General features: G+C 56.3%; 1 protein-coding gene and 1 long non-coding RNA gene across 33 annotated transcripts in view, besides 6 other annotated features; one reads left to right on the forward strand and one right to left on the reverse strand.

Annotated features, from left to right (window-relative positions):
- The window catches only part of LOC105376956 (uncharacterized), a 66,549-nt gene extending 63,894 nt beyond the window's left edge, over positions 1 to 2,655 (forward strand). Inside the window, exon 5 of the long non-coding RNA XR_940601.4 lies at positions 2,587 to 2,655. This is a non-coding gene — a long non-coding RNA (uncharacterized LOC105376956). The remainder of the gene's footprint in view (positions 1 to 2,586) is intronic.
- The window catches only part of IQSEC1 (IQ motif and Sec7 domain ArfGEF 1), a 386,215-nt gene that overhangs the window by 43,195 nt on the left and 327,368 nt on the right, over positions 1 to 15,652 (reverse strand). For all 32 annotated transcript variants that reach the window (XM_047449348.1, XM_047449340.1, XM_047449347.1 and 29 more), the window contains one exon: positions 1,334 to 1,628. In XM_047449348.1, the coding sequence (XP_047305304.1) occupies positions 1,334 to 1,628 (295 nt within the window). The remainder of the gene's footprint in view (positions 1 to 1,333; positions 1,629 to 15,652) is intronic.
- Positions 3,408 to 3,988: an enhancer, noted in NCBI's record as "H3K4me1 hESC enhancer chr3:12985145-12985725 (GRCh37/hg19 assembly coordinates)". NCBI's record gives its function as "activates a minimal SCP1, AML or CMV promoter by ChIP-STARR-seq in primed H9 embryonic stem cells {active_cell/tissue: H9 hESC(primed)}" and the evidence as "EXISTENCE:reporter gene assay evidence [ECO:0000049][PMID:30033119]".
- Positions 4,120 to 4,805: an enhancer, noted in NCBI's record as "H3K4me1 hESC enhancer chr3:12985857-12986542 (GRCh37/hg19 assembly coordinates)". NCBI's record gives its function as "activates a minimal SCP1, AML or CMV promoter by ChIP-STARR-seq in primed H9 embryonic stem cells {active_cell/tissue: H9 hESC(primed)}" and the evidence as "EXISTENCE:reporter gene assay evidence [ECO:0000049][PMID:30033119]".
- Positions 4,806 to 5,491: an enhancer, noted in NCBI's record as "H3K4me1 hESC enhancer chr3:12986543-12987228 (GRCh37/hg19 assembly coordinates)". NCBI's record gives its function as "activates a minimal SCP1, AML or CMV promoter by ChIP-STARR-seq in primed H9 embryonic stem cells {active_cell/tissue: H9 hESC(primed)}" and the evidence as "EXISTENCE:reporter gene assay evidence [ECO:0000049][PMID:30033119]".
- Positions 6,846 to 7,347: an enhancer, noted in NCBI's record as "H3K4me1 hESC enhancer chr3:12988583-12989084 (GRCh37/hg19 assembly coordinates)". NCBI's record gives its function as "activates a minimal SCP1, AML or CMV promoter by ChIP-STARR-seq in naive H9 embryonic stem cells {active_cell/tissue: H9 hESC(naive)}" and the evidence as "EXISTENCE:reporter gene assay evidence [ECO:0000049][PMID:30033119]".
- Positions 8,882 to 8,961: a silencer, noted in NCBI's record as "silent region_14073". NCBI's record gives its function as "represses an Ori minimal core promoter by ATAC-STARR-seq in GM12878 lymphoblastoid cells {active_cell/tissue: GM12878}" and the evidence as "EXISTENCE:reporter gene assay evidence [ECO:0000049][PMID:35858748]".
- Positions 9,522 to 9,701: an enhancer, noted in NCBI's record as "active region_19459". NCBI's record gives its function as "activates an Ori minimal core promoter by ATAC-STARR-seq in GM12878 lymphoblastoid cells {active_cell/tissue: GM12878}" and the evidence as "EXISTENCE:reporter gene assay evidence [ECO:0000049][PMID:35858748]".

Raw genomic sequence — 15,652 nt, forward strand, 5'->3', positions numbered from 1 at the left:
GGGGCTGATGGGGGCTTCCCTGTCAAGAGAGTGGACGACCCCCAACCCCAGGCAGTATCTGCACCACTCCCTTAGGAAGTTGGGGCACACCAGGCCCAGAACTCTACTCCTTAAAGGACAAAAAGGGGAGCAACTTGAATCTATACTCCCAGCAAACACAAACAAACAAAAACAACCCAAAAATTGTTTTTAAAGAAAAAGGATAACCAGGAAGATCTGGGAGCAAGCAGAGGGCGGGCGGGGCCACAGGATGGGTGTGGGTGGGAGTGAAGGCCAGGGGCTTCTGCAGCATGGAGTCTGGGAAGACGGGAAAGGGCCCTGGGGCCAGCAGGGGCAGAGGCAGCTGCCTGGGCATCTGGAGGAGCTGTCTAGAGCTCAGTGCCCAGGAGCTGGGGAGAGTCTGACAGCCCTCCCCAGCCTGCCCCTGCAAGCTTGCAGAACTGCTGCCTGGGAGCCCGGGTTCTCTTGAAGCCTCAAACTGCTAAGCGGCTTGTCCATGCACTGGCCCACTCACCCCCTCACTCATCCATCTGTGCAGTCACTCAGATCCTCATTCAAACACCTACTGTGCACCTGCACTTGGAGGGACTTGGAAGCGAGAGCTCTTGGCCTCCCCAGGGACCGCTCAGGGCCTCGCTCTTTCCTCTGCACCCCAGGATTCTCCTCTCCTGGCTCAACCCTGAGAGGCTACCTCTTGTCCTCCCTCAAGCCCAGCCCTAGGCACACTGTGGGTCTGGGCCACCTCTAAGGGCCAAGGCCCCTGGGGGAGGGGTGCAGTCTTCAATGAGGGGATTTCCCACAGGAGCAGGGAGGTGTGAGCCAGGAGGAATAGAGCAAGCAGCCTCCCCTGGCTGGCTGCCGATGGGGTTCTTTCCAGAGCTTGTGATATTTATGCTGTCAATGGACCTCCCTCCCTCAGCCCTCTCCTGGGTCTTTAGAACCTCAGTGGCCGGCCACGTACCCAGTGTGTCCCGATGACACTGGGCCTCATGCTCAGACACCTATCATGGCCCCCCAGATCTGGGCCATGCGGGTCATGGAACCCGGGCCATGGCAAAGGCCTCATGTGAAGACAACTCTCTAGAAGTCCCCAGAAGGAACGCCAGACAACCCAGGTCCTTCATACACGCCAGCCAGAGCCAGCTGGGGCAAGAGGCTCCTGAGAGCAGCTACAGGTGGAGCTGGAACTGGGGCAGAGCCCTCAGCCTTAGCCCACATGCACCCCAACTCAAGTCTATGGGAGAGATCTGCCACCATGCCTGGTGGGGGCACACATGGTGGGCAGAGCTGCCCTGCGCTTGCATGTGTGGCCTGAGGGGCTGTGCTCTCCTACCTGCTTGTCCTGCAGGTCCGAGGAGAGCTCATAGCTCTCGGAGAGTGAGCGTGAGCGCTTGATGGCCTCCTCCTCAGCCTGCTTGCGCAGGATGGAGGTCGAGTGCTGCAGCTTGGGCCTCCGCGTGCGCTGCTGTTGCCCCGGCGGCCCCGAGTACAGCCCATAGGCTCCCACTGACGTGTGCTCGTAGTGATCCGGGCTCAGGCTGGAACCGGGCACCAAGGGGCCCTGGGGGTAGGCTGAGGGGCTGTCCAGGGATGTGCCAGTCTCACTGCTGGGGGCCTCGCCCTCGACGCTGCAGAGGAGAGAGAGGTGAGAAGCTTCTGGTAAGCGGGAAATCTGAACACGACACCGGGCCGTGGGGCGTGACCCCACCATGCTCCTGGAGGAGCCCCCATGCCCGTTCTTCTCACACCCCATGGCTGAGTCCACATGTGCAGCTGGCAGGACCCTGCAAAACCCCTCCACTCAGCACCCCACCCACTCGGGTTCAGTTTCTCTGTGAAGTGCACCATCCTCTGACATCCCATATACCTTCCTCATTGATTTTGCTCACTGTCCATCATCCACATGCAAATGCCAGCTCCCTGAGGACAGCAGTTTTGGCCACTGGGTCGCTGATCACCCCCAGAGCCCAGAGCAGTGCCTGGCACACAGCAGGTGCTCAGCAATTACTGACTCAGCGAATTCTGTCGCCTTTTCTCCTACCACCTGCATTAAATACACCACTGATTTTAAACTTAAAAAAAAGGCCGGGCGCGGTGGCTCACACCTGTAATCCCAGCACTTTGGGAGGCCGAGGAGGGCGGATCACGAGGTCAGGAAATTGAGACCATCCTGGCTAACACGGCGAAACCCTGTCTCTACTAAAAAATACAAAAAATTAGCCGGGCGTGGTGGTGGTCGCCTGTAGTCCCAGCTACTCAGGAGGCTGAGGCAGGAGAATAGCATGAACCCGGGAAGCAGAGCTTGCAGTGAGCCAAGATTGCGCCACTGCACTCCAGCCTGGGCTACAGAGCAAGACTCCGTCTCTAAAAAAAAAAAGAAAAGCCCCAATAATTAACAAAAGCGATTCTGTACTGTATGCCTACATGGGGCCAGCCCTTGTGCTGGTGTTTGCTGTGAATGAACTGTACCCTCCACATTTGTGTGTTGAAGCCCTGGCCCCCACCTCAGCACGGGACTGTGTTTTGGAAACAGGGTCTTTGTGGACACTGGGGTGTCCTGATCCAGCCTGACTGGTGTCTTTGTAGGCAGAGATGAGGCCACGGACGCGCACAGAGGGAGCAGCATGCGAGGACCCGAGGAGGAGAAGACCACCTGCAGGCCAAGGAGAGGGGCCATGGGGGAACCCACCCTGCCTACGCCCTGATCCCCGACTTCCAGCCTCCAGAATTGTGTGACAATAAATGTCTGTTGTCGAAGGCCCCTGTGTGTGGTGTGTGTCACGGCGAATTTGGAAACTCATACATTGCTGTATATACATTTTCTCTAAATCTTAAAAGCAGTCTACAAAGAGGAATCATCGACTCCCCTTTTTCAGGTGAGGAGACTGAGGCCTACAGGGGGTGCCAGGATGACCCAGGTAGGAAGTAGGTGAGTCAGAGTTCAAGCCCAAGTGGTGGGACCCTGAGACCCAGTGGTCCCCTCCGCCTCACCACCTCCTGTCCCTGCAATGTGCACACATTTCTCTGACATCTCCAAGCACCATGGGGGAGCAGTGCCCCTGGTGGGGCCATGCGGGGCGGGCTGACGAGCTCATCCCGACTCGGAACTCGCAAGCCTTTTCACTGTGTGCAGACGCTGGTTTCCGCTGCAGGTGGCTTCTCAGTGTAGGACGAGCAGGGAAGGGAGCGAGTTATGTCACAGTTTCCAACACAACATCCAGTCACCCTGCCAGGTGCCCTGTCCCTGTCAGATCACTCAACCCTGGGCTAGAAGGACCCTGAAAGACCCTCTGCTCCCACGGGCCGGGGTGGAGGTCCCACTAGATGGGCACAGCAGAGAGATGGGCACACAGACCCCACTCAGCTGCGGTGCCCCCTCCTGGTGCCTCCTTCAGACCTCCTTCAGACCCAGGGCAGTGGGTCCAGCCCTGTTCTGCTCTGCTTCTGTCTCTGCTGCTCCTCACGAGGCCTGCAGGACCCCAGTGCCCAGTGCAGAATGTGACGTCTCCGGCTCCCGTGAAGCCTGGAGTGGGGGCCCCAGCAGGCGGCCTGGAGCAGAGGGCACAACCAGTGGCCCAGGTGGTAGGGAGTGACGGCCCTTTGCTGCCAATTCTGCCCTGAGCCAGGGCTGGGCTGCAGATCTTGGCACCTGCTTTCCAGCCTGCAGATTAGGACATGACTTCTGGCTCTGGCCTCCGGGGTCAGGCAGGGGATGCCCACCCCACTCCCCAGGAGCTGGGCCATGACAGAGGCGTCTTCCTGAGGAAGAGCCTGAATGAAGAGGGGGTCCCAGGGCCCTCTGTGGCTCTGCCCTCATCAGATTGAGAATCAGGGCAGGCTGCCCCTCCCTTCAAGGTCCCAGTTTCCCTATCAGTAACACGGTGGGCTGGACTCAATGCCTGCAAGCCCTCTGAGGAACACCACCCTTCGAGATTCTCCACATCATGAGAGTCTCCCAAGCCCCTCCCCTACAGCCCCCACCCACAGCAGCCTCCTTTGGACCTGGTGTGTGTGCCTTGGTAGGGGGCGAGGGGGAGAACAGGCAGATCTGAAAATCCTCCCATTCTATTGCTAAAGCTTTGAGCAGGGACTCGCAATAAACACTCACCAACCTAATCAACTGTACAAAGGAGCAAATGAGTCCCCATCTCAGACTTCAGGCCCCAGAGCCTCAGGTTGCAGGGGAGCGTTGGCCTCGCCGGGAAGCCCATCCCACACTGTCTGACCCCAGAGCTCACGCCTCTGCTCCAGGCCTGTGCACCTCCCTCCTGTCTGACCCCAGAGCCCACGCCTCTGCTCCAGGCCTGTGCACCTCCCTCCGGCTCGCCTCGTCTTTGCAGCCCGAGGGCACATCACACACGCCCGGGACTGGAAGCACTTCAGTCAGGCGCCAAATCTGTGCTTCCAGGCACAGATCACAGGGAACAACGGCTGGTCCTTAAAGAGATGCAGCCGGGCCTCCGCTCCTAAGAGGAGGATTCAAAACAATCTCATCACCCTAAGTTCACAGAAGCACAGAGACAGACAAGCAGTTTCCCTGCAGGTCCCTGGAGCTGAAGCAGGAAGCCCCTTGGTGGCCCACAGGCTGCTGCTGAGCTGCTGGGAGGCACCGTCAGGGAGGGGAGTGTGGGACCCTCACTGTGCTGCCCCCGACCCAGGATGGAGGAGCAATGTTCACCTCAAGTCTGAAGGAATTCCACCCTTCACCAAGCCCTTTCTAACCTGGCCTGAAACCACTGTGAGCAGGCAGAGCAGGGCATCCTTCCCTGATGGTTGGGGGTGAGTGAGGGCCCAGGCCTGCCTGAGAACTTGAGAGGGGCCTTTGTTCCCAGTTGGCCGCGGTGTGGGGCAGAGGGGGTTGGGGAAAGAGATCAGGCGGCAGCCACTGAACTCAGAATGGGCAGGAGATGGGAGTGCCTGGCGCTGGTAGTTCAGGGTGGCTTTGGGCCCCGGGGCAGGGTATCTTTGGGGATAGGATTGCAATGGTGGTGGCCTGGGGCAGACTTTCTGGGCCTGTGGCAGCCCAGGATTCCGCTCTGGGCACTCCTGGGTTCCTGGCTGCCCTGGGTCAGCAGGTCCAGAACATGCTTGGGAGTGGCCGGGCCTCCCTCTCCAGGAAGGGAAGGCCTGACAGTCACCCACAGTCTTCCCTTCCATCCTGGAGCCAGGGTCCTGGGGGTCATCAGTTTAATCCCTCCCCCGACTCAAACGCCCCCATTCAATCTGTCACCGGGTCCTGTCCAGTCTATTGAATAGCATCAGCTTGTGCAATGTGGCAGCCCTTCCACACTCCAAAAAAAAAAAAAAAAATCAAACCCAACTTCAAACCACCCCAAAAAAAAGAAATGGCTGGGCCATCCTACTGCAACCAGTGTGGCACCACAGGATTCTTCAGCAAACGTGGACAAAAGTGAGCACAGTGTGGAATTTTCCACATAGCTATGAACCCATTTGAGCCAGAGGACATCACCTCTTGATGGCCCCAATCAGCAACTACGCAGTGCAGTATTAGACCCTAAAAAAGTGGCTTTTCTGAGTTTATCTGAACTGATAAATAAAAATACAATTTAAGTGAAAATACCCAGTATTGACAAGTACATGCAGCCATGGGCACTCTAGGACTCTGCTGCTAGGAGTATAAATCAGGACAGGAAGTTATCGAACTTAAATGATGTGGACGCTTGACTATTTTCTGGCTGAACTCGTAAAGATGTTTTGCTCTACAGCAACACTCTGGGCTCTCAGCCCCACCTTCCTGATTAGGACTCAGCTCTACCCAGTTTCTTCCTGGGGCAGGAAGAACTATCCTATGTCAACCTTTCCCTTTCTAGGGCAGAAACACAGATACCTTAGTGACAGAGCTTGGCTATAAAGTGATGGTCACATTTTACCAGCATACATGAGTCTCTAGGTGGGACTTTTGGGTTAGAGAACAGCCAGACTGGCTCCTATATCCCTGCCCCGACCTCTTGAGCTCAGCTGCTGGACATCTCACCACCCACTGTAGCTGCCTTGGGGATGCTTCTCCCAAAAACCCAGCCCATTGAACAGGACTGGTGAACACACCAGTGTGAGTCCTTAACTGCGCCTCTGAATTTATTATCTCTCTCAGACACCTGGGCTACATGCAGACCAAGGAATGGGCCGAGGCACCTCTTCCAAGTCCCTGAATATTCCTGGCAGTTCAGAGTCTCTGGAACATCCTATGAGCGTTAGGTGGCTGCCGCCCAGCCCCTTTCCATAGATTTGTGCAAAGGAAATAAGACCAATGTGTGCAGCAGTACATACGAGGATGTCCACAGCAGTGTTGTTTCTGATTATAAACATCTGGAAATAACCTAAATGAGCATCGACAAGGGGATGACTGAAATTAATTCTGTATCCACACACTGGAAATAACATCAAAATGGGGTAAAGATCTAGTTTGATGGCTGTTCTTATGAAAAAGCCTTGGGGATTTTTTGTGGACTATAAGATGAATGTGAGCTGATGTCATGATGTGGCCGAGAAGCCAGTCACCAACATGAATAAAAAGCCAGGAGCAAAAATAGCCCTGCTGCCCGCCACAGTTCTCAGACACAGCAGAAGACAGTGTCTGGGGGCTGCACAGACAGTCCAGAGCCTGAGGGCAGGGACAGCAGACCTGGGACACCTGCATGCCCTACCCACTCCTCCCTGGCAGACATTGCTAATTGATCACAGACTCCCTCCTAAAGAGCTTGGATGAAGCCTCAGCCTCCTTCCAACACAGCACTCCATACAACTGATCCCAGCTAGCATGTGAGATGGACTCTATTTGCCAAGGCCAAATAACAGTATGCCAGGAAGCAGTATAACAGTATGCTCCTATCAAGAGCTGGGGCTGTGCAGCCGGGAGGAAAGCAGCCTCGGGGAGATGATGTGATCCCCATCATCAAGCCTCTGACAGGCTGACAAGCCGAGGCTAGAGATTTCTCCTGCAGGCAGAACTATGACTGCCAATACCCGACGTGATGAAGTACACTCTCATGTGGTTAGGGCTGCTTAGGAGGTGGTGAGTTCTCTGTCACTGGAGGTGTGCAAGCTGCGGCAGGTCAGACACCCGTCAGAGAGGTGGTACAAGGGACTCCAATCCTGGCTGGAAGCCTCTATCCCAGGGCCATATGACCTGTCTGAGTCTGCCATCTTTACACCGAGGTCTCAGCTTAACCCCACTTCCTCCACAAGGCCACCCTCACCCCACACACTCTTCCCCACCCCGGGGATCACCTGATCTCGTGTGCAGTCCATCTGCACCATGGAGGAGTCTTGCTCTGTGAGGGTGGGAGACAACTGCCCAAGCATCCCCCAAAGCCCTGGCCTCCAGCAAAGATGGGAATGGCCATGAGCAGGAGGCCTGCTCCTTCCCATGAGATGAGTTCTGTATGTCCTGGATGGGCCCCTGGTGGTGGGACAGGCCAAGGACAGGGCCAGAGAGCACGTAAGGGCCTGGAGCTGCATGTGGATGCATCCACACTCTGCCCCAGAGCCCATCACGTGCTAAGGCACAGTGAGCCCTCCTTTCCCAGACTGGGGACTCCAAGCTTTGGTCACTGAAAGGTCGCCAAGCTCTTCCCCCTTCTCCAGTTTTCCAAACATGTTTTCCTGTGATGGAAGTGGTATGTGGTGTTTTATGTGGGGACATGGCTGGGTGAAGCGCTAGATCCCTATAGGACAGTGTTGCAATGGACACCTCGCAGGAATAGAGATCACAACTTGAAGAGTTTCCTCCTGCTGCCCCGCCCCACCCAGGCTTTCTGCCAAGCAAGGGGCCAAGCAGGCTCCTGGGTGGAATTCTAGCTCTACTGCTTACCAGCTGTGTGACCACAGGAGGAATTAATGCTGTGCCTCAGGTTCCTTCCTCTAAAATTGGGGTAATTAGTGTATCTACTTCACAGGACTGTGAAGACTTAGTGGAGCTAATTAATACAGTGAGGTCCTTAAGAAAGTGCTTGGCTCTTAAAAAGCACTTTTCAATGGCTGTCTTGGGTTATTCTCTGATCTACAAGCCCCAGCAGCTGGAGGCAGGAAGGGCAGACAAGCCTAGTGCCCCAAGCCAGGGTCACCTGCCCTGCACCCTGCCTGCTGTTGAGACCCTCTCTTCGAGACACCCACCTCCAGGCTGGAGAGCCTGACCCCAGGGTGGAGGGAGACCTGGACCCAGACACCTTCCACTGGCCTGTTCCCTGGACTGGGGAGCTCATGGGGATGGGTGAGAAAGGCAGACAGTCCAACCCCAGCCCCTCAGCCCAGACCTGTTGGATGCCACGTCCCGACTCGCCAGGGAATGAGTCAGGGCTGGGGGGCTGTGGCCTCTCAGCCACGGATGTCTCTAATTATGGCCTATGAAGTAATGAATGACTTTTCTCAAGAAAAATGTTAGCCAGGGGAGGTTCTGGGCACCAGTGAGGGTACAAGATGAAAGCAGTGACCCACTGTTCACCCCCAATATCGACAACGACAATGGTAGTAACAGCGAATGTCTATATGGCTAGTGATGTTCTAAGCTGTATATGGAACACATTCAGTGCTCTCAATACCCTGCAGGCACGGAAAGGTGGCACCCATCCCCAAGGGCATATGGGCAGCTTGGCCAGGACGCCCGAACACTTGCCCATTGTGTTCATGCAACTTCTTACGGAGAGGGCAAACACACATGTATGTACACACATATACATACGCAAACACAAGTATACACGGGTCTGAATTATACAGCAGCAACTTCTCCACAAACCTGCCAGGTACAAGATGCCGTGGTGGGTGTGTTTAAAATACATGACCTGTAACTCAACCACCGTCGCTGGGAGGTAGCTAGGACTGCTCCCTTCTGCAGATGACAAACTCAGGGATGGAAGAGTTGAGTCACCAAGTCAAGGTTGTGAGTATAAGACAGAGTTGTGTGGGACCTGACCCCACACCATGCCTCTCCTGCCCAGCTGCTCAGGGGAAAAGCATGCTGCTGGCAGCTTGGACAGGGCTGGGTCCAGAGCCTAGGGGTCCTGGGGTTGTGCACAGTTATGAGATAAATCAGAGAAATAAGCCTAGCCACGTGTGGCCAGAGGGTGGCCACATCACATGGCAAAGCCACCCTCTTCAGAGGGGGCCGGGCCCCATGCTAGAGGAAGCAGGCAATCTTGAAAGCCTGTCTGTGGTTAAATGTCCATGCCAGCAGCCTCAGGCCAGACTCCTGGCAGTCTGCACAGGCCAGAGCAAAACAGCCTCCTGAAGTACGTATGCCCATCACGCCTCCAGGCCTCATGGCTTCCCCTATACTCTGCTTTCAGGGTTTCTGATTTCCAGAAAGGGAGCCTAGACTGGGCAGGCACAATTCATTTCCAGCCCTCACAAGCTCCCTCTTGGGGCTTTCTGTGGCTCTTCTCTGCCTAGGCCACATTAACCAAGGTTAGTCACCCAGAGGAAGGAAGGGGATGGTCTTGTTCTGCACAGGGCTATCTTCACCTCTATGCCCCCGTCTCGGGGAGGGATGGGACACAGCCAGGCAGGGTCTGGGGGGCGGGTGGGGGCACATCCTCTGAGCAAGAGCAGGGATGGCACAGCTGGAGAGAGGTGGCCGCCACCCCTGCCAGGTCTCTGCAGGGTGGTCCTGGTGCAGAGAGAACAGGCAGGTTTGTGAGGCCAGGGGCAGGAGCTTCAGACAGCTAGCAGTTTTGAACAGTTCAGCAATTTAAGAAGGGGCTGCTTTAAGGGCTAGTGCAGGTGTTCAAGCAGGGTCTGGAAAAATCAGTCTTTCTGGGCTGATGTGGCTGGGGCTGGGTCACCCACACGTATGCTCACCCACTATGCCACTATGCGACGGGGGAGCCCAGCACAAGCTAAGTACACAGATTTCACCCCTGCAACAAGCCTGTCAAGAAAGCACTGCTCTTCCCATTCTCCATATGAGAAAATGGAGGCTCAAGAAGGGCCCACTGTGATCCTTGCCCAGGACTGCAGACCACAGAGCAGAGCCAAGATTCAAATCCATGTCATTCTTCTAGTCCTTCCCATTCTGGAATGTTCTCGGGACTGCAGTCCCCAAGAGTTAGCCTGGCCCCAAGGAGCAGAATGCAAGGATACAAAGAAATGGACCTCAAAGGAAAACCGAATGTGCAAAGAAGGGACATAAAGTTGGCCAGCTGTGGTGGCTCACGCCTGCAATCCTAGCACTTTGGGAGGCCGAGGTGGGACACTGCTTGAGGCCAGGAGTTTGAGATCAGTTTGAGAAACGTAGCAAGACCCTGTCTCCACAAAACATTTTTTAAAAATATTAGCTGGGCATGATGGCAAGTGTCTGTAGTCCCGGTGCTTTCGGAGGCCAGGGCAGGAGGATCACTTGAGGCCAGGAGTTGAAGACCAGCCTGGATAACATAATGAGACTCCATCTCTACAAATTTTTTTTTTTTTTGATACGGAGTCTCACTCTGTTGCCCAGGCTGGAGTGCAGTGGCGTGATCTCGGCTCACCGCAAGCTTCACCCCCGGGGTTCATGCCATTCTCCTGCCTCAGCCTCCCAAGTAGCTGGGACTACAGGCACCCACCACCATGCCTGGCTAATTTTTTTTTTGTATTTTTAGTAGAGACGGGGTTTCATAGTGTTCACCAGGATGGTCTCGATCTCCTGACCTCGTGATCCACCCGTCTTGGCCTCCCAAAATGCTGAGATTACAGGTGTGAGCCACTGCGCCCGGCCAAAAAAATTTTTTAAATAGCTGGGAGCAGTGTCTCTTGCCTGTAGTCCTGGCTACTCAGGAGGCTGGGACAGGAGGATCCCTTGACCACAAGGAGTTCAAGGCTGCAGTTAGCTATGATGACATGACTGTACTCCAGCCTGGGCCACAGAACAAGACCCTGCCTCTAAAAAACTTTTAAAAAGTTATAATAAAAGGGCTGGGCATGGCGGCTAACGCCTGTAATCCCAGTACTTTAGGAGGCCAAGGAGGATGGATCACCTGAGCCCAGGTGTTCGAGACTGGCCTGGCCAACATGGTTAAACTCTGTCTCTACTAAAAATACAAAAAATAGCTGGGTGTGGTGGCGCAAGCATGTAATCCCAGCTACTCGGGAGGCTAAGGCGCGAGAACTGCTTAAACCCGGGAGGCGGAGGTTGCAGTGAGTTGAGATTGCACCACTGGGCAACAGAGTGAAACTCGGAGTGTACTCCAGCTGGGCAACAAAGTGAACCTCTATCTCAAAAAAAAAAAAAATTAGAATAAAAGAAGAGACATAGAGCTGGTGTAGCCAGCAAGACAGGAACAGTGAGGGCTTTCCCAGGGGAGGCTGTTCTAGTGCCGGTCAGCCATACCCACTTCTCTAGTCTTGAGCGGAGGCAGCATCCCCACTGATGCCTAAAGCCTTACAGCCTGGCACGCAGTTCTAGGAGAATGATGCCTGGCTGTTGACCAAAAAGACTTATGGACTCCTGAGGTCCTTCCTAGGGAGCAGTAGGGTGAGGACCTCCTAGATGAGGCCCAGCAATGCTGGTCGCCTCCCCTGGCAGGCAGGGTTTGGATGAACATGACCGGGTGGTGAGGAGGAGGGGTGAGGTCGCAGCACCCCCAGTGGAAACCTAGGGAGGGTGGACAGAAAGGGAACGAGTGAGCCCTGGAGGAGCACACGTAATGGGCACAGATGTTGAGTCCCGTGCTCAGAGCCTCCAGACGCTGCCAAGGTCTGGGACGGAGGGGCTGGTGGAGATGGAGCCCTCACATGGAAAGATTTAGAGCGAGAGTCTGCAGGAAGCACTGGCACAAAGTGACGGCCACCTAAACATCCCATGTGACTTCCGCTGGCTAACCAGGAGCACCATATCTAAAACGGGACAATACAGAAGTCACCCCTACAGGGCGTGGCGGGAGAAGGTGGGGGTCAGGAGGGTTTCTGCGTTTACCCAGTTCCCAGGTTTGGAGAAATGAGGATATCCAGGAATTGCAGAGGAACCCAAGAAACCGGACATCCCGCTGTCCAGGCACTGCCCCTTTGAGGCCTAGTAGACAGCCCAACCTCAGGCTCCAAACTGAGCTTCCTACACCAGGCCAGCTCCCCACAGCCTTCCCATCTCAGCGGGGTGCAGTTGGGGTCCTTGGAGCTGCTCACTGAGCGTCACTCTTGGCAACTCTTTCTCAGACCCTCCTCCCCATCAGTCAGCACATCGGGCTGCTCCGCCTTCAACACAGAGCCCGCATCTGCCAGCCTGTGTGGCCCTCATCTTTTCCCTGTGTGACTGCCATGGCCTCTCCAGGCTCTTCTAGCCTCACATGCCACCCCACCCCGCCCCTCTCCACCCAGCAACTGAGGTCCTGTGAAAACACAACCCTGACCACATTCTCCTCTCATTTGGCGGGACCCAGGAGACTCTGCAGGACCCAGCCATTCCTCCTGCCACCCTCCTCTGAACCCCCTGGCCACTCCAGCCCAGCCCCCTGGCCTCCTGGCTGTTCCTCTCCGCTCTGGCACGCTCTCACCCCAAGACCTGTGCAGGTGCTGTTCCCACTGCTCAGAGCGGACTTCCCCCAGGCTGCCTGGCTCCCTCCCTCACTCCATCCAGGTCTCTGAAGATAACTGGAGGGATGTGGCTGAGAAGGAAGAGGAGAAGATGGGGAGGTGGCAGAAGAGGGATGAGGGCTCCAAGAAGGCATGTGGTTTGAGCTGGAAGAGACCTGAGCATATCTGAATGGTGACAGGCAGCGACCCTGGCCGGAGGAAGAGGTCGGGCTCGTGGGTGGGCACACCACCGGAGGCAGAAATCCTCCTCTGGGGCCTCACTGTTCTCTGAGGGGCAGGAAGGGAGGCCAGTCAGCTGCTGATAGGGCCTGATCCTTCATCCCCTCAGTAAGGTGGGGCTCAGCCAGGGACAGTTTCAGGAAGCTAGGTCTGAACTGAGCAAGCCAGGGGGAAACAGAGAATGTCTCCCACCCTGTGCCTGGCTGCAGGGAGCACACCCACAGCGCTGTCTCCATGCCTCTTGGTCTCCGTGCGCCGTAGACAGACCTGTCCAATGGCCCATCAGAGCCTGGAACTGCCGGGGCAGCCCGACCCGATCCGCGAGGGACACTGAGGCTGATTGTCCGGTTGCCTCCAGAGAAGATGAGCCTGGGCGGAGACCGGCCTCACTGACATGCCCCCGCCCTGGCCTCAGGCCTGCCCTGCTGAGGCCCGATAAGGCCCGGCCCAGGTCCGCCTCAGGCTGCAGCATTATCTTTAACGACTGTCACCCAGACCTCCAGAAGTGGCTTTTATATATATAGAAAAATATAGGACTCGAACAATGAACTTTTCAAAGCGGGAGGCTATTTTTAGAGCTTTGCTGACTGATCCAACATTGAGCATCTCCCTATGTGTCAGCAGCTGCTGGAGAGATGGGCAGACGGCACGAGGAGTCGGGCAGCAGTCAGCGTACAGGGGGCTTCTCAGGCCACCCAACCACATGAAGGAAGATGCAGTTTTTCGCACTGCCCCTGCCCTCTGGTCCCGAATGCTCTGTACAGCTCCGTCAGGCATCTACCACCCTAATGTTGTCATGACAGGAGTGACAGTAACATTATGGGCTAGAGTCCAACACTTGAGTTGGAACCCCAACTTCTCTGAGCCTTGGTTTCCTACCTGCACAGTGGGGGCAAGGCCGCCCCTTCACAGCATCACAGTGGAGTCAGTGAGAGTGTTCCAGGAAGCCCCACCAACAGCTAATGCCATGCCTAATTAGAGGGTAATTATTTCAGGAGAGACCTCTGGTCCTCAGACATGGCTGGTTCTCATCAGCGCGTAGTCGGGTGGGGGACAGAAAGAAAGGTCTCCGTGTCCTGTGAACCCAGGGCCACACAGCCAAGGCAGCCCTTGTCCTGTCAAAGGCAGTCTTTCCGGCCCCAGGGAGGTGATGGCTCCAGCCTCCCCAGCCCAGGCCTCGCTCCCAAACATAAAGAGTACCGTCAGCCTGCAGGGGCCAGGCCACACCCTCCACGGCTGCTGTGAGACCCTCTCTCACTCAAAGAGCCCAGGAACCTGAGTGGGTTTTGGAGATGAGAATGCAGGTTCCAGGAGACAGGCTGGGGATGAGAGGGCAGCCCCTAGAACCTGGAATCAGATCTCCCTCCCCCCTCACAGCTTCAGGGGCTCGCATGGGAAAGAGCCCGAGGGCCTTGGTGGCTGTGGATCAATGGCAGTGTGGAGCCCAGGGCTGGGAGAGGCCCTGGGGCATGTGGATGGCAGCACAGGGCGTCTGATGGGGGCTGCGTGGCAAACATGGGGGAGAGGGGTTCCCCTCAGCAGGAGGGAAGGAAAAGAGGGATTTGCAGGGACCATCTCCCCAGATCTCCGCTGTCTATCACACCAAGTTAGGTTTCCTCACAGCATGGCTCCATATCTGACTCCATCTTTTATCCTGCTTTTTTATTTCTGTCTCTCCCCTTGAGGAGGTCAGCTCGGGAAGGGCAGTGTCTGTCTGTTTTCCTCACTGAAGTTTCCACAGTGCCTAAATAGGGCTGGGCACATGGCAGGCGCTCAGTCTGAATCTGCTCAATGAATGAATGATGCTGCTAGTGACTTGGGGACCTGCACAACCCTGGGAGTAGATGCCAGCACTCCTAACACAAAGGGGTCAGGACAGGATGCCCCGCAGTCAGGATGGAAAGCCACAGAGCGGGGCAGAACGGGTCCTCAGTGCCAAGGCACAGCTGGCTGGCTGTCTTCTTCTCCCGCAACTCCACAGGCCAACGGCAGGGCTGCTGCTCTCTCATTTACAGGTGGGGGCACCGAAGCCTGGAGAGAACAGGGGCTCAACAGTCACATAGCTGATGCGCAGCCCAGCCTGGCAGAGCCCCGTGACTCTGGAGCTGTGTCCACAGCCCTCCTCTGCTCTGCAGCTGGGTTGTGGAGACACCAAACCACTATGGAAACTGTGAGTTTCTCCACCGTACAGACACATGCTCACTGTGCTGAAAACACTGTCCTGCAGGCCTCAAGTCACCAAGGAACTTGAACTACCAAGATCAGCCCCACCCCTTGAGAATGCCCTGGGCTCAGCTCTCTGTGTGTTGCTTCAGCCCTGTGCCTACCCCACCCTCCCACAGTCCCAGGAGGCCTGCCGGGCTGGGCCGGGCATTGGCGGAGCCTCAGAAAGGAAGCAGGGGGCAGACTGGCTCCGCAGGCTGGCAACCTGCACTTTCACTTGGGCCGAGAGCCAGCTGGCAGGGGGGCTGTGAGGCTCTGGATAGGGGGCCGATGCCAACACCCTGCAATCAACCCCAGCCAGGGCCTCTGCCTGGTGAGGTGTCACTACAACAGGCATCACTATCAGTGCCACAGAGGGGCCCCAATCTGCCCGAGGATCTCACCCCACATGCTGGGGACCAGAGCACCAAACCAGGGTAACAGGCTTAAAACAGGAAAAGTCAACCCCTAACGCCAATCCTGCAGCCAACCCCAGGACAGGCAGCCTTTAAAGAGAGGGGCTGGGCAAAGCCCTTTATTCTCCCGAGCGCCACCGGGCCAGGGCCAAGGTGAGGATGAGGCCCATCCCTCAGGGACCCTCGGCCTTGCCCCTGGGAGAGTTGGTCAGGAGACCTGGCACCTGCCCAGCTGCTCCCCATAAGGAGACCTCGGACTGCACGGAGCTCTCTGGAAGATAGATTCTGTGTGGGGG

Source organism: Homo sapiens, chromosome 3 (assembly GCF_000001405.40).
Source record: "Homo sapiens chromosome 3, GRCh38.p14 Primary Assembly".
NCBI classification, from domain to species: domain Eukaryota; kingdom Metazoa; phylum Chordata; class Mammalia; order Primates; family Hominidae; genus Homo; species Homo sapiens.